The 21,352-nt window shown below is 45.0% G+C and overlaps 1 protein-coding gene across 29 annotated transcripts in view; it reads right to left on the reverse strand.

The window, feature by feature from the left end:
- The window catches only part of WHRN (whirlin), a 103,394-nt gene that overhangs the window by 43,087 nt on the left and 38,955 nt on the right, over positions 1–21,352 (reverse strand). For 23 of the 29 annotated variants that reach the window (XR_929757.3, XR_929750.4, XR_929749.3 and 20 more), the window contains one exon: positions 21,101–21,226. The exons of the other annotated variants lie outside the window; for them this stretch is intronic. Coding sequence is in view for 14 of the 23 variants with exons in the window: in XM_047423166.1 (XP_047279122.1) it covers positions 21,101–21,226 (126 nt within the window). In the remaining 9 variants the exon portion in view is untranslated. The remainder of the gene's footprint in view (positions 1–21,100; positions 21,227–21,352) is intronic. 29 annotated transcript variants of the gene reach the window in all.

The following is a 21,352-nucleotide window of genomic DNA, read 5'->3' on the forward strand; positions in this document are numbered from 1 at the left end:
AAGTAGCTGGGATTACAGGCGTGCACCACCATGCTCAGCTAATTTTTGTATTTTTAGTAGAGATGGAGTTTCACCATGTTGCCCAGGCTAGTCTCAAACTCCTGACCTCAGGGGATCTGCCCGCCTTGGCCACCCAAAGTTCTGGGATTACAGGCGTAAGCCACCACACCTGGGCTCTAATATTATCTTAATATTGCCTATCTAATGTGGTCTTCAACTGTGTTGAAGGGACTGGGAAGAAATAGGCCAAACTGTTCATAGGAGTTGCCTCCAAGTGATCAATTCCAGGCAATTTTAATTTCAAGTTCTTTATTCATGTTCTGCACCTCTTCAAATTGTATACAAAGACCAGACTGTCAAGTGTATAAAGAAAAAAATTCCACAACTAAATGAAAAAATTGTGGGGAGACAAGCCATAGCACAGGCCACCATCATCTCTCCCACCTTCTCTAACACCTCCCTCTATGTTTGGGGGTCTGGGGTAGAGTGGGTCTAGGCCCTCGGTAGATATGCCGTGCCACGCTGGAGAAGAATCTTCTTTATCTCACCCAGTCCGTTCCATGCCTCTTAGTAATTTGGGATAAATCATTTCTGCCCCACACTGGGCTCTGAAGCCTGCTGGCATAGATAGGCTTGGAGGCGTTTAATCTCCTCTGGAAAGGTCCTCTGAGGTTTCTCTCATTTGTTGCTCCTTTTAAATCCTGATTTCAATTAGAAACAGCTAAATGCCTGACTTCAAGGGAATGGTTAGGTAAATTATAATTTAGCCCCAAGATGGAATATGATTATGCAACTATTACAAGTTGTACCCATAAGTTTTTATTTACATGGGAAAATGCAGATAAGAATGTGAAATGCAAAGCAAGCTATATGATAGAAATCATGTCAAAGAATACAGAGAAGAGAATGACAGAAACTACATCAAGATGCCAACAGATGGAAACAACCCAAACGTCCATCAACTAATGAATGGATAAACAAAATGCGATATCACCATACAACAGAATACTATTGTCATAAGAAGGAATTTCCTGGTAGATGCTACAATATTATGCTAAGTAAAAGAAGGCAGACACAAAGGCCACATATTCTATGATTCATTGATATGAAATGCCCAAAATAGGCGTATCTAGAGAGACAGAAAGCAGATTAGTAGCAGTTTTCAGGGAGTGAAGGGAGGGAGGAATGGGGAGTGATGACTTCGTGGGTACAGAGAGTTTTTCAGGGGTGATAAAAATGTTCTGAAATTATATAGCAGTGATAGTTGCACAACCCTGTGAATATCCTAAAAACCACTGATTTGCACACTTTAAAAGGGTGAATTTTATAGCATATGAATTGTATCTCAAAAAACAAACGATGGTAATAAAGGCTGGTTTTAGAAGGTAGGATGTCTGGGTCCTTCTACTTTCTGCATGTGTTTGTGTGTGTATTATGTATTGAACTTATTACTTTAGTAGCTGGAAAAATAAAACTCAAAACAAACAAAGGGTCTGGCTCAAACCCTTTGAGGTTTTTGGGCCAAAAGCTCTAGTGCAGAGCACCACTCAGTTCCCTGGACATCCCAAACTCTGAAAGCTCTTGCCTCCTTCCATCTGCCTTAACTCATAGCTCCTTGACTTTGGAAGTAATACCCTCACTCACTCCTAGTGCCACGTGCATCCCTAGGTGCGTCTAGCCAGCCAGGAGCTCTTGGAAAAGCTGTTGGAGCATGTCTCCTTCCCTACCCCTTCCCCCTCCCTCCCCAACTCTCCTCTCTGTCAGCCCCTCAGTCCCTCTCAGCCCGCCTGTCCGTCCCTGACCCCCATGCTTCTATGTCTGTGCTCCTCCCAATTCTTCCTGGAAGAGCTCTTCCTTCACTTCTCTGCCTGGCATAATCTTCCACATTCAATGCCCCAACCAGACCGCACTCTTCACAGGGGCAAAAATCATGTGTTTTCTGGCTCATGTTTACATGTCAGGCACATAGAGAGGCTCAGCAAGAACCTGCTAACCAAGAGAAGTCCAGCTCAAGATCCACTTCCTCTCTGCAGCCACAACCAGCCCCCCTCACCTGGACTGACTGCTCCCACCTGAGGTCCCAGCACAGGAAGGGCCGTGCAGTGGCCACAGGGACTTGGAAGCAGCCTGCCTGGCTCCACACGCCCTGGCTGTGTCACCTTGGGTAAATCATTTAAACTCTCTGAGCCTCACATCGGTAAACAAGGGATGAGCACCCTTACCACAGGGTTGCTGTGAGGGTAAAAGGACTGATATATACAAAGTGCCCAGAATACTGCCTGTACATCAGAGATGTTAATTGTTATCCAGTTATCAGGTAGTACTCCTATTAAGAGCATGGTACTTCTTAACAGGTCTGACTTTATTACAGTTTGCTATTTCCTCCTCCCTCTTCCTCACTAGACTGTCAGCAATTTGAAAGCAAGACCCCATGTGTTGTCCATGGACCAACTGTGCTGTGGTTTGAATGTGTGTCCTCCACTAAAACTCATGCAGTATTAAGAGATGGGACCCTTAAAAGGTGATTAGGCCACAAGGACTCCACCTTTCCAACTTTGTCTCTCTCTGTCACTCACTTTCTCTCTCACACACTTTCTCTCTCTCTCTTTCTCTCTGTCTCTCTCTCTCCCCCAGCCTTCAGAACTGTGAGCTAATAAATTTATATGCATTTTAAACTGCCCAATCTCAGGCACTCTCTTATAGCTGCTAAAATGACAAAGATGAGTACTATCAGCAAAACCTAGGAGCCTGTGAGAAACGCAAACTCTCAGGCTCCATCCCAAATCTACTGAGGCAGAGTGTACTTTTCCAAAAATGGCCACAGCAATATTTCGAGTTTCATGTGCCCCCTAGGGCCCTGTCATGCCATCACAGAGTAGGTCAAATTGTGTTCCCCCAAAAATATGTCCAAGTTCTAGCCCCCAGTACCTGTGAATGTGACCTAATTTGGAAATGGGGTCTTTGCAGGTGTCATTAAGTTAAGGATCTCAAAAAGAGATCATCTTGGATTTAGGGAGGATTCTAAATTCAGTGACTTCTGCCCGTATAAGAGAACGGACAGGGAGATTTGAGCCACAAAGAAACATGCAGGGAAGAACACACGAAGACAGGGGCAGAGACTAGAGTGACACTGCCACGAGCCGAAGACCACCAGGAACCAGCAAAAACTGGAAGAGCGGTTGGAGGGATGAGTGTGATCCTGCTGTCACCTTGATTTTGGACTTCTGGCCCCCATAACTGAATACATTTCTGTTGTTTTAAGCCACCCAGTGTGTGGTCATTTGGTATAGCAGCCCTAGGACACTCACATAGAAAGAAGGGCCTAGTCCCCTCTCCCCCTTGAAACTGCCTGGACTTGTGACAGCTTTAAACAAGAAAGCCCAGCTGAGGGATACTCTGTGCCTTCTGAAACTGGGCCATCAAAAGAATACAGCCTCCACTCACCTCTCTCCCAGCACCTATCCCCTGGAAAGCCCCCCTAAGCCACCATTCTTAGAGGCAGCCCAAACTAGCACTGTGGAAAGATGACAGGGAGAGGTCCATGCAGGAAGCACTAGGGCCTCCAGCCCATAGCCAACATCAACTTCCAGGCACAGGAGGAAACAGGCTTCCAGATGATTCCAGCACCCAGATGTTGAGTGTTCCAGCTGCGGCTGCAGACATCATGGAGCAGAGACACATCACCCCTGCTGTGCCTTGTCACTTCCTCACCCACAGTACCTGGGAGCATAACTTGTGGTTACTATACATCCCTAAGTCCTGTGGTGGTTATGCGGCCACAAGAACCACATTTGCTGAATCATAACTGGCACTGGAAAAGGTCCCTTGGGAATCTGTATGCATGGTCAAGTGCCCAAAGCACTGCCCCATATAGTTACCTACCTCTCCCAAAGCCCTTCATGTTTCTATCCCACAGCAGAGGCTGAAGAAATGCTCACTGGTAATCATTTCCCTTATGAAAGAGGGGACCGTGCTGACCTCAGATTCAGTAAACCATATGTACCCACAAGCAGGCATTTAATTTGGCATGACCACATGTAAAGCCAGAAGGGCAACCAATGACATTTCCGGGGCCAGTCAGCTCTTCATGCCCCTACCCTATTCCAGGACCTTTGTTCAGCCACTTGGGAATGAGATGAGAAGGAAAGCCCACAGACATCCCCAGCTAGTAGCCTCTCTCTGGTGGACAGAATGGTTCACAGGGACCCTGAGCACACGAACAAATGATCTCACCTTTTCCTGTGGCCAAGCTGCAAGTGAGCTCTGCTCTAATGGGCGTGCCCAGAGAAATTAAGTCTTTTTGGCAGCAGCCTGCCTTGGCGCAATTACCACCCTACCAAGGGCCGCTGTAAAGACCAGGCCAGAGGACTAAGCATCTCGAATTTCTGCAATTGATTAAACACTCATTCAGAGAGGCCATTTCAAAAATCCAACTAAGAGAGTATCATAAGGAAGGACTGAGAAGGTGGCACAGCTGGGGGCGGGTGGGGAGCAGAGGCTACAGCAATCACTCAGCCTGTGGCAGGTTCTTGGGAAATAAATCACCTTCCGGCTCCTTGGGAAAGACGTTCATCATCAATGTCAATTCATCAGCTATCTGAGCATCGCAGATGTAACTGCAGATCAGTCTTGCCACAAGCCAATCGCTTAGACAATTACAGCTACCATTTCTTTTTGGTTGCTTATCATGTGCCAGGCACTGGGCTAGGGATTTTATATGCATTAGCTCATGTTGTCTTGACAATATAGTACCTAGGATATAGGTGGTACTATTATTATCATTATTATCAAAAACTGGAATCTACAGGAGCTTGGGAAGCACTGCTCCTCTATAGTCTCTACGAAGGAAGCAAGAGCCAACTCTGAGGCTTAGGACTTGTGGACCCGCCCAGGAGTGAGAGGTGGCTACTGCACCTCAGGGATAGGCACTCCCGAGGGCATGGCTCATTAGAAAAAACCCACTCCAGCAAAAGGGGCTGGTGGGGAGGCAAAGCCCAGTTATCTGAGCTGGACCTCAGCAAGGACAAGGAAATTGTCATCCTACCTTCTGCTGAAAAAGCCTGGGGATTTTTGAAGCCCCAAAGCAACCAGGTGCTGGAGAGGTTGCTGCTCTGCCACAAGTCCTCGAAAGCAGGGGCAGTGTGGGGCCAGGGCTGGAGTGCCAAAGAGGGACAGGCAGGATTAGCCTCGAGTTTATTCCATCCCAGAGGGACAATACAAGACTGTCCCCTAGCCTGGGAGGAAGGCCCCACTGTGAAACTGCCCTGGCTGGGTGTTAGAGGACAGAGCCAAGCCTGCAACCTTGGCCAGCCCCTTCCTGGTAAGTGGCCATGGGCAAATCACTTCCACCTTCTGAGCCTCAAGCAAGACTCATGCGGTTACCTTACAAGGTTATACTGAAAATCAGGAATAATTTTTAAAGCTAATTAAAAAAATACTTTTATCTGCATCAAGTGCTTGCTAGAGATTCTCTGGCTACATCTTCACCATGTCCCAAGAGGTATTATTACCCCAGCTTTACAAATGAGGAAACCGAGTCTCAGGGTGATAAAGTGACAAGACAGGTTTTACACACCATGCAACACCACCAGGGAATGTCATCACCGCCCCGGCACACAGTAGGTGTCAGAAGTAGCTGCTATTGTTATTATTATTAGTTTCCCCCCCCGCAAAAAAATACTTTCTGCTGAGATACAGCTTTAGTCATACATTCTCAATTAAATAATTTTAAAAGTTGAGCTAGGCCCATGCTCTCATGTGGGAATGACAGACATTGAATCATCTGGGCCACGGGTCCCCCTTTTCTGCCCCATGGCAGACACAGCGCTAAGTGACTCTTAGCATTAGCTAACTATCCCTTCTTGCAGAGCCCGGCTGCAACCACACAGGTACAAACATGTGTACAGGCGCACTAATGAAATGGCATTGGCATGCAAGAGATCGGTGACTTGCTGCCCTTGGGAATGGAAAAAGCACTGGATTTGGGGTCAGAAAAACGTGGGCAAAGCCCATCCAAGGTAAAATAGAAAGTCCTTTGCCAGTCTGAGGCACTGTGACTTTGTGCTCAGCTGTCCCTGTTGGCATCAGCACAGAGGTAAGGCATGTGGCCTTAGGGAGGCCTGCCTTTGAATCACAGCTTCTCTGCCAACTAAAAATATGTTTTGGGGCAAGCTGCTTAATCTCATTGAGTCTCGGGTTCTTTATCAGTGAAATAGGCATGATGAAACTCAGGAGATCCTCCTGGGGCTGCCAAGAGGACGGAGCAAGATGATTTCAAGGAATCACCTGGACAGGGCTGGGCCTGCAGCAAATCATCAATAAATAGTTGCTTTTATGGCATTGTTATTATGGAGACATCAGAAATATCACTGTGGGGGTGTGTGCGCATGAACGCACACACCACACACACAGGAAAACCCCAAGTGAAGACCATTCGCTCCTCCCTAATTTTCACAAAGCAGTAAATTCAAGCTGCCTACAGGGGAAGGCCCTGCCCTGTGTCCCTCCCCCAGTCTGCCTGAGAACCACTTCACAAAGAGAGGACCCATCTAAGTTCTGTAAGAACCTCTGGGGTTCACCAGAGAAGGTATGAGGAGAGGGAAGAGATGAGAATGGGACTTCTGTGACTAAGTGCTAGACCCACCTGGGTTTGAATCCCAGCTCTTCTTCCTATTAACTGTGTGACCTTGGGCAAGTTACTTAACCTCTCTGGGCTTCAGCTGCCCATCTGTAAAATAGGGATAATACCAGAGCCTCCTTGCAGGGATGCTGGGAGCATTAAATGATTCACTGTAGGCACAGTACTCACTAAGCACCATGGTGGGACAGAGGGCGGACTCCCAAAATGCTGGCAATTGCTGTTGTTATTCCTGCATGTTAGAAATAACTAGAAGACTGCTCACCCTAATGACTTATTTCTGTTACTACTATTTCCTCAGCAACATAGGAAAGGTAAAGAATAAAAATTAAAATTAAAAAATGTATCATTACTGTTTCCTGTTATCACCACTACCCTCATGCTGCTGTATCTTCTGCCATTTTCACCATGCTTTTACTTAAACACATCCTGAATGGCCAGAAGAATCCTCCGGGTTCCAAATCTAAAAAGCAGAGTGTGCAGAAACATCGGGCAGGTGTCACCAACATGCTGACGGCAGAGAACCGGGCAGAAGTGGGGAGAGCTGGCTGGCCGGCTGCCAAGGGGCGTCAGCCTGAGTTTCCATCACGCAAATTCAGGGTTATAGGGCTAACAAGGACAGCACCTGGCACACAGTAAGTATCCGGGAAATTGTTCTTGTCTTGAAGAAGTGACTGTGGAGAAGGCAGGCCCTGAGCCAGGTGTCTTTGACTCCAAAGCTCCTATCTTGAGCACTATCTCCTTTGCATCCTGGCCTGAACACAGCACAGAGCAGGCATTTTTGTTTGAGAAGTGTGAGTGGTTTTCCCACTCACCTAGGTTGTGCATTGAGCAATCAGACCCTGTCTCTCAGAGATGCTTGCCTTTGGGCTAAAAGAGGCTGGGTAGCAGCCTGGCCCACAGTGAGGTTTGCTCATCACAGGTGCTCTCTGGACATTAGGTGCCATCTTCAGCTCCTCCCTGATGGAGGGCAGATGGCGGGAATCAGTCTACACTCACAGATCTCAGCTGCCAACCCTCCATTTCACACATGGGGATGCTGAGGGCCAGAAGGAAGGAAAGGACTGGCTGAGAGAAGGGCCCAGAGCTCTGGGCCCCCAGCATAGAGCCCCGTTGCCATCAGGCAGTTTGGCTTTGTCTGCTGATTCCATCCTGATGCTTCTGCTGGGAGGCGAGAGCAAGCCTGACAGACTCTCCACACCTGCTTCCTGTTTCTTCATGGAGGAAGGGGTGTGGTTACTGTGTTTGTTTTGCATTGCTATAAAGGAATACCTGAGGCTGGGTAATTTATAAAGAAAAGAGGTTTATCTTGGCTCATGGTCCTGCAGGCTGTACAAACAGCGTGGTGCTGGCATCTGCTTCTGGTGAGGCCTCAGGAAGCTTTTACTCATGGCAGATGGTGAAAAGGGAGCAGGTGTGTCACAAGGTGAGAGAAGGAGTAAGAGAGGTCCCAGGCTCTTTTAAACAACCAGCTCTCACATGAACTAATAGAGCAAGAACTCACTCATTACCTCTGGGAGGGCACCAAGCCCTTCATGAAGGGTCCACCCCTGTGACCCAAACACCTCCCAGTAGGCCCCCTCCAACACTGGGGATCACATTTCAACATGAGATTCGGAGAGGACAAATATCCAAACTACATCAGTTACTATATAATATTTGTTTAATAAGGATCCTTTAAGTGTATTTCATTCTGTGATTATGGCTGATTTTATGGTAGTCCTAATGAAGGTGACAAAAATAATGTCTTAATATTTATATAATTCCTGACAGTTAAAAAAAACTCACATAATAAGGGCACCTTACAAGCAATTCTCTGCCTTTAAATTCCACAACTTGGATGAATGGACCAATTTCTTGAGAGACGCAAACTACTAACACTCAAGAAAGAAAAATAGATAACCTATAGATATCCTATATATTACATGTCCAAAAAATGGAGTTTATAGTTAAATCATCTCCCCCAAAAAAACTCAAGCCCAGACACTTTCATGAATGACTTCCCAACTCATTTTGTGAAGCCAGCATTATATAATACTAAGACTAGATACATTATAAGAAAAGAAAACCCAGACCACTATCCTTCATGAACACAAATGGAAATATCCTCCACAAAACATTGGCAAATCAAATCCAGCAATCTCTATAAGGGATAATTTATCACAACCAAGAGTGTTTATACAAGGAATGCAAGGCTGTTTCAACATTTGAAAATCAATGTAATTAACAGATTAAAAGAGAAAAGCCATATGATCAGAAAAATACTTTAAAAATTCAACATACATTCAGGATACTCTCTAAACAAAGTAGGAATCAAATCTGATGAAGAGTATCCACAGAAAATCCCACAGCTAACATACTTCATGGTGAAAAATTAATGCTTTCCTTTAAGATAGAAATAAGGCAAAATTTTTCTCTCAACTGTTCTACTCAGTATCATACTAGACATTGTAGTCAGTGCAATAAGTTAAGAAAAAGAAATAAAAGGCATACAGATCCAAAAAGAAAAAATAAAACTCTGACCATCTGCCTAGAAAATTTCAGACTCTGCAATAAACCTCCCAGAACTAATAAATGAGTTTAGCAAAGTCAAAAGATACAAAAGCCAACATATAAAAATCAATTCTATTTCTAACAATGAACAACTGGAATCCAAAGTTAATAAAAACAGTACCATTTATAATAGTGCTGAAAATACTTAGGTATACATAGCTAACAAAATATGTGTAGTTTCTTCAGGCTGACAATTACAGAACAAAAAAAAACCTAAATAAATGGAGAGATCTGTATTCATTGATTGCAAGACTGAATAGTATGAAGATGTTAAATCTTCTAATTTGATCTAGATTCAACACAATTCCAATTCCAATCCCAGGAAGCTATATTTTTTTTTTAGGTATTTACAAGCTGATTCTAATTTTTTTTATGGAAATACAGAGAAACCAGAGGAGCCAAAACAATTCTGAAATAAGAACAAATTGGAGGACTCTGTACCCAACTTCCAGACTTACTGTAAAGCTACAGTAAACAAGATAGGGCAGTGTTAATGAAAGGCTGGGTGCGTAGATCAGTGGAACAGAATAGAGTCCAGAAATAAACCCACACAAATATACCCAAGTGATTTTTGGCAAAAGAGCAAAGGCAATTCACTGGAGATAGGGTAGTCCTTTCAGCAGATGGTGCTAGAACAATTGGCTGTCTATAATGCAAACAAATGAACCTCAATCTCACACTTTATATGAGAACTCAAAATAAATCATAGACTAAAATGTAAAATGCAAAACTATAATACTGTTAGAGGAATATATAATACAAAATCTATGTGACCTTGGGTTAGACAAAATATGGCTAATAAAAGATTGACAAAATAGACTTTATTAAAATGAAAAATTCTTGCTCTGCAAAAGATACTTTTGTTTGTTTGTTTGTTTTGAGACAGGGTCTCACTCCCGTTGCCCAGGCTGGAGTGCAGCAGCTAGATCTCGGCTCACTGCAGCCTCTACTTCCAAAGCTCAGGTGATCCACTTCAGCCTCCCAAGTAGCCGGGACTATAGGCATGCACCACCATGCCTGAAAAGATGAAAAGATACTTTTAAGAGAAGACAAAGACAAGCCACAGAATGAAGATATTTTCCAGCCAGGCATAGTGGCTCATGCCTGTAATCCCAGCACTTTGGGAGGCAGATTGCTTGAGCCCAGGAGTTCAAGACCAGCCTGGGCAACATGACAAAACTCTTTCTGTACAAAAAATACAAAAAAAATTAGCCACATATGGTGGTGCATGCCTGTAGTCCCGGCTACTAGGAAGGCGGAGGTGAGAGGATCACTTGAGCCCAGGAGGTCAAGGCTCCAGTAAGCTATGATCATGCCACTGCATTCCAGCTGGGGCAACAGAGCAAGACCCTGTCTCAAAAAAAAAAAAAAAAAAGAAAATATTTTCCAATCACATTTCTAACAGAGAACTTGAAAAGATGCTCCTCAACTTATGATGGTGTTATATCTCAATAAACCTATAGTAAGTTGAAAATATTGTAAATCAAAAATGCATTTAATACACCTAATCTACCAGACATCACAGCTGAGCCTAGCCTGCCTTAAATCAGAACACTTACATTAGTCTACAGTTGGGCAAAATCATCTAACACAAAGCCTGTTTCATAGTGAAGTATTGAATATCTCATATAATTTATTGAATACTATATTAAAAGTGAAAGAATGGTTGTATGGGTACTTGAAGTATGGTTTTTATTGAATGCATGAAGTTGAAAAATCGTAAGTTGACCCATGATAAGTCAGAGACTGTCTGTATTGAGAATGTGTAAAAAAAAAAACTCTAAAAAAAAAAAAACATCTCCAAATGGGCAAAAGATCCAGGAAACTTTTGTGTTGGAATTGCAGTGGTGGATGCATAACTCTGCATTTGTCAAATTCGTAGAACTGTACATCACAGAGTGACTTTATATAAATTTGTAAAACTCAACCAGGATGTGTATGGGAGGGGGCACGTGTCGGGCACAGGGAGGAAGACAGAATGCAGACTGAGATGAATGAAGACAGCAGAACTCTTACAAATGATTTCCATAACCACACTGCAAGGGGATAGAAGAAGAAAGGAACCGACTTAAGTAGCTGGGAAACATTGGTTCAACCGATCTTATAAGACAGAAACCAAGAAGAGTCGTATATAAACACTGTACTTCAGCTGGGAATTTTTCTCCCTCCTCAAAAGTATATGGGTTAGGGGCCAGGTGTGGTGGCTCACGTCTGTAATCCCAGCACTTTGGGAGGCTGAGGTGGGCGAATCACTTGAGGTGGGGAGTTTAAGACCAGCCTGGTCCACATGAGGAGACCCAGTCTTTACTAAAAATAGAAAAAAATTAGCTAGGTGTGGTGATGCATGTCTGTAGTGTCAGCTCCTTGGAGGCTGAGGCAGGAGAATCGCTTGAACCCGGGAGGTGGAGGTTGCAGCGAGCCGAGATCGTGTCACTGCACTCCAGCCTGGGTGACAGAGCAAGACTATCTCAAAAAAAAAAAAAAAAGTATATGGATTAGGAATTCTGAAATGACTTTGTTTCTCCTAGGGTGGAGAAAGTATGTAACTATGTTTTAGGTGATTCTTACTCTGGGAAAAAGCTATAAGTAAGGAAAGGGGAAAGATAGAATAAACCCTTTGATTCTGGGATTAGAATCAGCCTTATTAGTGTGGACTCATTTACCAAAAGAAAAAAATACTGTGTATGTATATACACAGAGATGAATACATACAGATACGGGTATGTGTGCATGCATGAGTCATTATACATATTTACTGTTCCTCTATCCATTGAGAAGGAACTGTAGGCTGGGACACCCCAATAAAAATGGGTACACCTAGCACCTGGATCTTGGTTTCTAAATACTGTTCTTCAAATAAAAGGAACCAGTGCTCTTTGTAGGGGTGGTGGATTCCAGGTCTAGGGCAGGGAAAACAAACAAGGTGAACCTGGGATTTCTTGTGCCAGAAAGTAAAGACATGCTGTAAAGTAAACAAACAAATAAATAAGCATATCAAATGTGCACAGAAGCCAACCTAAAAGCACTTCCTATAGGCAAAGGAGAATAAAATAAGCATCCATGAGGCCATAATAGTGTCATTACGTAATTAACTGAATAAATAGATAAATGAGTGAGAAGGGACAATTCTTCCTTAAGGAAGAATGGGAATTTTCCTTTCCCATTAATAAACATAGAAGGAACATGGGAATAGAAAATCACCCTTAGAACATTACATTTTGGTAATCATTTCTGTGGGCAAGAATCACAAGTAGATGCTAAAAAGTAGGCATCAGTTGGCCAGGCGCGGGGGCTCACGCCTGTAATCCCAACAGTTTGGGAGGCCGAGGCGGGTGGATCACTTGAGGTTAGGAGTTTGAAACCCGCCTGGCCAACGTGGTGAAACCCCATCTCTACTAAAAATACAGAAATTAGCCAGGCATGGTGGCAGGCACCAGTAATCCCAGCTACTCGGGAGGCTGAGGCAGGAGGATCGCTTGAACCCAGGAGGCAGAGGTTGCAGTGAGCCAAGATGGTGCCGCTGCACTCCAGCCTGGGCAACAGAGCCAGACTCTGTTCAAAAAAAAAAAAAAAAAGTGGGCATGAGTTTAAGCAGAAAAAGGATTTTCTGTGTGTGGTTTCAAAATATCTCTATCAGTGTACTTCATAATTATAAAGGGAAAATAGTAAGTTTACAGTGGCGGATTCTGGCTGTCACCCTTAGCAGAGCGTAATACATATTTTTTAAAATCTTTACTGTGTTTTCCAATTGCAAAAATAATACTTGCTAGTTGTAGAAAAGAGAAATAATTTACCGGGATGTGACAGCTGCCAGCAGGTGTCATGTCCTTCCAGATCTCTTTTGGTCTGACCTACTGTACACAGTGGCTTGGGATCCTTCTTGTTTGTTCTGTTCCTTTTATGATTCAACCATCGAGTTCTTAGATAGTTGCTTCCCTTCTTCAAAACCTGACATCTCTAATTTATAAGATTTTGACTAAGTTGTTGCCATTTTAGAGTATTGAGATGGGCCTTCTCAAAAGTAGAAGCACAAAAATGTAGCAAATGTGTATTTTTGCGGGCTTCATATTATCATTTTTTCCTATTGTGATTCAAAATCTATAATGTTGTCCCTTCTGCTGTCAGAGAAAAAAATGCGGGAAGGAGAAACTACAAAATGTCTCCTGAGCATGCTTGTGTTTTCATTTTCCTTGAGCAGCGGGGCTTGGAGAGAGCTGTTTGATGGCGGCAGAGGGGGTGGCCCTGTCCCTCCCTGGGTGCCCCAGGGCCCAGTGAGTCTTTCCTGTTGTTGGAGCACTGCAGGCACTTTGGTGGGCACCAGGTGCTGGCAACCCATGGACAGAGCGAGCATCAGCACCTAGATCTGTGTCTGCATCATGCTCTGCATGGAAATTATGTTGAATGGGGAGGGTGGGAGTGGGAGACAGAAGGCAGCAAAGAATCCTGGTGCCCCAGGTGTTGTGCTGGTAAGAGAAATGGTGGCAGCCAATATCCACTGAGTGATTATTCTAGGCTGGGCACCCTGCTAAGCACTTTTTATGTTCCACCATAACAAATCCCTGAACAGTCTCCGTGGTAGGTGCCATACCATCCTTCACTGAAAGATGAGTAAACTGAAGCTCAGAGAGGGCATCACTTGCCCAAGGTCACACAACAAGGAGGTGGTGGAGCTGGGATGGGGATCTGGCTCCAGAACCTCCCTTGGGCAGGGGATATGATGTGAAAAGAACATTCATTCTTTACCTCATGTAGCCATGATCTGGGAGAAGAGACATTCACTAAACAAGTGCTCCCAATTTATAGATGGGTTAAGAGTTTCAGCCAGGCATGGTGGCTCACATCTGTAATCCCAGCACTTTGGGAGGCCAAGGCGGGCGGATCACTTGAGGTCAGGAGTTTGAGACCAGCCTGGCCAACATGGTTAAATCCTGTTTCTACTAAAAATACAAAAAAAAAAATTAGCCAGGTGTGGTAGCAGGCACCTGTAATCCCAGCTACTCAGGAGGCTGAAGCAGGAGAATTGCTTGAACCTGGGGGTGGAGATTGCAGTGAGCTGAGATCATGCCACTACACTCCAGCCTGGGCAATAGAGCGAGAGTTCATCTAAAAAAAACAGAGTTCCTACCTCCTAGAGCTGGGTAGACAGAGATGGCACATATAGATCACCTGCTGCTTGGTACATACTTAGCACAGGGGTGCTGTCCAGAGACTCAGTCCAGAGAAGGCAAGTGGGGAGAACAGACCCTGGCAGAAGCCAGTACGTGGAGGGAGCAGCCCCAGCTTGGCTGGCTTCACCAATGAAGTCGATATGGTCAGGCTCCTGGCAAAGTCCAGCACCCGTGATAGACCTGTAGAGCAGCAGGTCATCCACACAGTCACTGAAACATTGTTTCTGCACCAGACACTCGATGGGCCTTCATTAGGACTGCCATAAAATCAGCCATAATCACAAAACGAAATACATTTAAAGGATCCTTATTAAACAAATATTATATAGTAACTGATGTAGTTTGGATGTTTGTCCCCTCCGAATCTCATGTTGAAATGTGATCCCCAGTGTTGGAGGTGGGGCTGGGAGGCTACCATAGCCACAAGCATAGTAGTGACCCCAAGATTGGGACATTCATGAGAACAGAGATCCTGTTCCAAGGAGCCTCAGCCAGGATGGCAGTTGGTCCCCAGGAGCAGAAATGAAATGTGCTCCCACCCCTGGGGAAACTCAGGTGTGGAGGCCGTGGGCCAGGCAAGATCCAGGAACCACACTGGGCTTGGGAAACTTGGTGATTTCTAAGAAGACTCAATGTCCTTTATTTCCTCTCTCTGCAGCCTTTTGATATTTAATCAAGTTAGGGGTGCTAGGAAGGTGGCAGAGCAAAGCGTATGACCTTTGGAGGGCCTTAAAAGGCCAGGTACTAGATCCCTGTGTAATCCCCGGGAAGCTACTTCACCTCTCTGAGCCTCAGTTGTTCATGTATTAAATGATGTTATTAATGTCCGCCACAGGGCTACCGGTAGGATGAAATAAAAGTGTATCTAATGTGTTGAGTACAGTGCCTGATTCATAATAACTGGTTAATAAATGGCAACTGCTATCATTATGATTAATTTCAAATGCTAGTCAATCTCAGTTGTCCTTAAAGGAACAAAGGAGGTTTTGTGGTCCATTCTTTGGTGGGGTTTGAAGCTGGGGGGCAGGTGCAAAGAAATAAGAGATCCGAAGATAAACTCTCAAAGGGCTGTTAGCCCCCACTGGGGGAGTGGGAAGGTGCCAAGTTCCATGGGGCCTTCCCAGGGCAAATGCTGAGAACCTGCCTGACCCCCCAAGTGCTTCTCCACTTAGGGCAGTGCCGTCCTGACATCCCCCGCCCCAGACTCAAACCAGGCCCTTCAGGAGCTAAGTGGGCTGAGCAGCTGGAAGCAAAGCAAAAGGCACATTTTCTCTCCAGGGAAGCTCTGCACAGCAGCAAGGAGCCCTATTTACAAATAAAACCTTTTCTTGGCTCCACTGCCCACATAGCCAAGCCCCTTTATTCCATTTCAATATGCCTAATTCCACTGAAAGTGCATTGGCAATAAACAGAATTAATCAGTCCTGGATGCCCAAGTGAGTGTAGGCAGGTGTTAGCATATCCAAGGGGCCCTGGAAGGGAAAGTACAATAAACAGCAGGAATATAAAATGCTTTACTGCGGAGGGGATTGAAGATAGAAAGGACTTTACTGAAGGCGGGCATTTTATGAGCAAATAAAGCCTTTGATTGCCTGCAACTGAGAGGCAAACTAAAGTGAGTGGACACTTCTACGGAATATTTTTTCTCTGCCTTGTTTCCGAACGGAAATCACTTTATTGTTGCTGTTTTTAAGATTATAAAAGGAATATTTGCTCCATTCAGACGCCGCCTAAGGACATAAACAAAGTGAAAATCATCCCTCATCTTACCACCTGAGATAACCAGTGTTGACACTGTGGTGTGTGTCCGGCATAGATGTTTCTCTATGCATATTTTTGCATTCATATAGAATACAGATGAAATCCTGTTAGCTATGTGGTTTTGCAGCCCACGTTTCCCACTTAATAACAGCCCACAGACATCTTTCCACATTAATAACTGCAGATCTTGATCATCGTCTTTTCACAGCTGCACAGTCTTGGGTGCATTACATCTCCCGTGCAATCAGGCTGTTTCCTCAGCAGCATTGCTAAGGCATCTTCTCCCCACCTGGCTTTCCACGTTCAGCCACATGGGCCTTCCTCTGCACACTGGAACACTTCTTTCCACTTCAGGGACTTGGCATTTGCTGTTCTTTCTGCCTGGAATTCTCACTTCCTCTTTCACATAATTAGTTTTGTTCTCTTTTAAATTTCAACCGAAATGCTTCCTCCTCCAGGAAGTCTTCCCAGATATCCAAGACCAGGTTTGGTCTCCCCTGGCATACACTCAATTGGTTCCATGTGCTTTGCCATCTTGGTATTATTACAATTGTAACTAAATACACAGTTGTGTAATTTGTTTTTGTTTTTCTTACTAGAATATAAGCTGAGGAGGTCAGAGACTGTGTCTGTCTTGCTCAGAAGCTGCAAAGTACAGTGTTAGCTTATAGGAGTCATGAGTATATATACTCACAGACTAAATGGAAAGAGGAAAAGCAAGGGAGAGCCACAAACACGTGCTTACATGGAATGTCCACATCCTTCCACACAAAAGAGGGATCTATCAGCTGGTTACTGGTTTTGGCATCTCTTTGTAAATATGAAAACTATAGGTGAAACAGAGTGAAGAACATTCCTGGTGTCTGGGCACCCTCTTTGTGCTGGCTGCCAGGAAGCTCAGAGCCAAGTCTGTGTCCTGCCTGTAGCTGGGTCTACAGTCCCACAGAGCAGGGTGTTCTGGAATATCACTCATCCAGGCTTCATCTCTTTTCCTGTCCCCCATTTTCCTTCGCCCCAATTTCCTCCACTCATTCAAAATTTTTGCTCTATGTAAAGAGAACTCTCTGCAACTTTTCAGGCCAGGAAACTGTACAGATCTAGGAGAAGTCCTCGGAGATCATCTAGCCCAAGTGTCCAAGCAGGGAGACTGAGGCCCAGGGAGAGGAAGGACATGCCCACCTTCACACAGCCGGTCAGTGGAGGCCCCAGGGCTCCAGTCCTTCCCTGCTCAAGGAAACCCCAGGCTCTGTCAGGCCTCGGTTTAAATAACAGCTCTGATAACAGAAAGAATTTGATCTTGGGCAACTCAGTTTAAGTCTGTAAGTCTTGGTTTCTTCAGCTGTAAACTGAGGACTGACAGGCGCTATACCATAGTAGTTAAGAACGTGGACTCAGAGTTTGCTGGAGTGAGTTAAAATCTCAGTTCTAGCACTTAGCTGGGTGGCCTTGGACAAGTTGCTTAACATTGCTCCTAAATCTATCGTCTATAAATTGGCGAGAAGAACATTCTTTTTTAAAATGTATCATTGCAAAAATTGTGTAATAATGAATAAGAAGTATTTAGCTCAGTATGTGACATAGTAACTGCTCAATAAAAGGGTAAGAGGATAATAAAAGACACTACTCATCAGTAATCAGAGAGAGAGGGCGAGATGCTCAGTGCTCGCAGGCCAAGACCTAATGTGTTGTCTCTCTGGAATGCTCCCTCTCTCCCTTTCTCTTAATGTGGATTTAATCAGAGGGTACTCACCACCAACAACGTTACGTAAGCTGTTCATGCATTTATGTCACCAAGGACACTATGGCACCACACAACACCTCTCAAGGAGGGACCAGAGGAAAACTGTTCTGAGGCCTCCGAAGGAGGAATAACTAGGCTTTTCAAACACAGCTGGTCTGTTTTCCTCTTACAGACATCACTGACTTGCTTCACTCTCTGTGTTGGCTGCCAGGAAGCTCAGAGCCAAGTCTGTGTCCTGCCTGTAGCTGGGTCTGAACCCCCATGCAGCAGGTGTTCTGGGAAATCACTCATCCTGCTTCATCTCTTTTCCTCTGCCCCCATTTTCCTTCTCCCCAGTCTCCTCCACCTATTCAAAATCTTTACTCTGTGTTTAGAAACTGTCTCTAATCTTTACGTTTCTGGGGAAAATAAATGGCATTTAAACTTCATACAGACTAAATGCAATGTGGTATGCTGGATTCACTGGATCCTGGAACAGAAAAAAGACATGAGTGGAGAAACTGTGAATAAGGCCTGTAGTTTGTTTAACAATATTGTACTGATGTTAGTTTCTCGGTCTTGACAAATATACCACGGTTATACATGATGTCAACACTAGAGGAAGCTGGGTGAAGGATAAACAGGAACTCTCGGCAACTTTTCACTAAGTCTAAAATTATTCCAACATACATTTATTAAATAAAAATTCCATACAGAATATTATCAGATTATTTCCCCCTGGAGTCCAAACAAAGCATCACTCCTACCTGCTAAAAGCAAAGCAAGCACCTAGATCCAACACATTTCAGAATCAACTAGACCTGGCCGACACCGTGGAACATCTCCTACCCATCTGGCTGGCCTGGTTATGGGCACAGTTCTAGAACCAGACTCCTCATTCCTGGATGGGAATCCTGGCTTTCCCTCTCATTGGCTGTGCAACTCTCCGAGCCTCACCTACTGAGCCTGTAAAATGGTGCTCACCAAAGGGTAAATGCTTGAGGGGATGGATACCCCATTCTCCACAATGTGATTATTACACACTGCATGCCTGTATCTAAACACCACATGTATCCCACAAATGTACACACCTACTATGCACCCACAAAAATTAAAAATAAAGACATAAAATGGTGCTAACAACAGAACCTACTTTCACGGGAGTATCATGAGGTCAAACAAGTTAATGACATAAAGCACTTGGAAGAGCATCTGGGAAAGAAGACACACGATCCATGTAAATTACCATGTCTATAACAATGATGATAATGATGTTTGTCTGAGTCAATCTGGGCTGCTATAACAAAGTACCACAGACTGGGTGGCTTATAAGCAACAGAAATTTACATCTCACAGTTTTGGAGGTTGGAAGTCCAAGATCAAGACGCCAGCAGGTTCAGTGTCTGGTGAGGGCCCACTTCCTGGTTCATAGACTGTGCCTTCTTACTGTGTCCTCACATGGTGGAAGGGGCGAGGCAGTTCTTGGAGCCTCTTTTATAAGGGCACTAATCCCATTCGTGGGGCTCCACCCTCATGACCTAATCATCTCCCAAAGGCCCCACCTCCTAATACTATCAGCTTGTGGGTAAGGATTTCAATACATGAATTTTGGAGGAACACAATCTGTGGCAATGTTTACTATAATAATAAGAATTCCCCATTTGATCTTTGCAATAACCCTGAGAAAGGAATGTTACCTATTATTATTATATAGTAAAGGGAAGCAAGGTTAAACAAGTTAATGATGTAAAACACTTGGAAGAGTAACTGGGAAAGGGGAGATATGGTAGATGTTAATGATTATGTCCATAATGATGATGATGATGATGATGATGATGATGATGATGATGATGATGATGATGTCGTCTGTCTGTCCCTTTGGGCTGCTATAACAAAGTACCATAGACTAGGTAGCTTATAAACAACAGAAATTTATGTCTCACAGTTTTAGAGGCTGGGAAATCAAAGATCAAGATGCCAGCAGGTTCAGTGTTTGGTGAGGGCTTACGTAGTGTTATTATACAGGAAAGGGAAGCCCAGACAGGTGGAGGGACTCTCCAAGATCACACAGCTATGAAAGCAAAAGCAGCAAAACTGGGACTTGAACCTAGTCTTCCCTACTGCAAACCCAGAGCTCTTCCCACAATGCCTGTTTCCTAAGAGAACCTGACAGACGTATCGTCTCTGTACTCCAGCCTGTCTGCCATGATGTGGCTTGGTGGCCACATGTGACCTTTTCTTCTTGTCTGCATGGAAAATGAAATCTCCTGATATTAGGGCATGCAAGGAAGGCCCTTTGTTACAAAGATACAACCTCATCATGTGCTTCATTCCCCTGGCTTTGCACACAGACTAGGCATCCATCTAGTCAGTCACCAACAGTCAGACACGCATGGTCCTTTGGCCAGCCACTCCCATCCTTCCCCTTTACCCATCCCTCTCTCTCACACTCCCCATGGCCTGGCTCAAAGGCCACCTGTGCCATGGTCACCACTCCACATCACTGCTGCTGTGGCATCCCTGGCATCAGGATTTAGCCCAAACACATGGTGCTCTTTAATTTGGTGATGGGTGTCCTGGGTCCAGCATCCTCGTGAGCAGTCTTGTCTCTCTGAGCAAGTTCCCGGGCTACCCTGCAGCGTGCTAAGTGAGGGTTTTGAAATTCAGACTGCCTAAGTTCAAAGTCTGCTCTGCAACCCACCAGTTGTGTGGCCTGGGACAAGTCAGTTTAACCTATGTCTCAGTTTCCCCAACTGGAAAATGTGGGTAGTAATACCCTACCCCTCAGGGTCACGTGAGGAGTCAACTAGATGACATGTGAAAAGTAGATCACAGACGCTGGGCACACAGTTAGCCCTCTTTAAAATGGGAGCCAGTAATATTTCAATAACTGCTGGTTGTCTGGATTGAATGCCAGGCCTGAAGCTGCCCAGGGCACCCCCAACCCAGCTTATCACTTTCTCTCCTCTATCCTCTCCACGCATCGTAACAAACCCTGAGGTCAGGGCCACCACAGGCCATCAGCAGTGTTTGCAAAACAGCAGCACGACAAGTTCGGGCTGGCCTGCTGCCCACACTGCGTAGGCGGCCACCCCGCTGCTGCTGTGAGCTGTGAATTTAGAGGTACAGCAGCCAGGGAGGGCTCCCCAGCTGGGACCAGTCCTCAAGGTGGAGTGCTGATTGCTCTGCTGGAGGTCTATTTAAAATCAGCAGCAAAGAGCTCCATGCACAGAGTTTTCCCTCCCTCAGGCCCTCCCTCACCTTGAGCCCGCTGCCTTCTGCTTCAGAGCCTGGGTCCACGCCAGTGATGTAAATGCCAAGGCCGTACTCAGCTCCCCCACGGATCGTGAGGCCCAGGGACCGGCCGTCCCCCAGCACCAGGTTCACCTGTCAGAGGGAGAGGATAACATTAGAGGGACTGGAGGAGCCATCCCTTCCGGGGACAGCAGGCTGCAAAGCCCCCTCTCGTACTTTGAAGAGCGCATCTTATCCGACTGGCAAGGAGGCCCAGGC

Source organism: Homo sapiens, chromosome 9 (genome assembly GCF_000001405.40).
Source record: "Homo sapiens chromosome 9, GRCh38.p14 Primary Assembly".
Taxonomy (NCBI): Eukaryota; Metazoa; Chordata; class Mammalia; order Primates; family Hominidae; genus Homo; species Homo sapiens.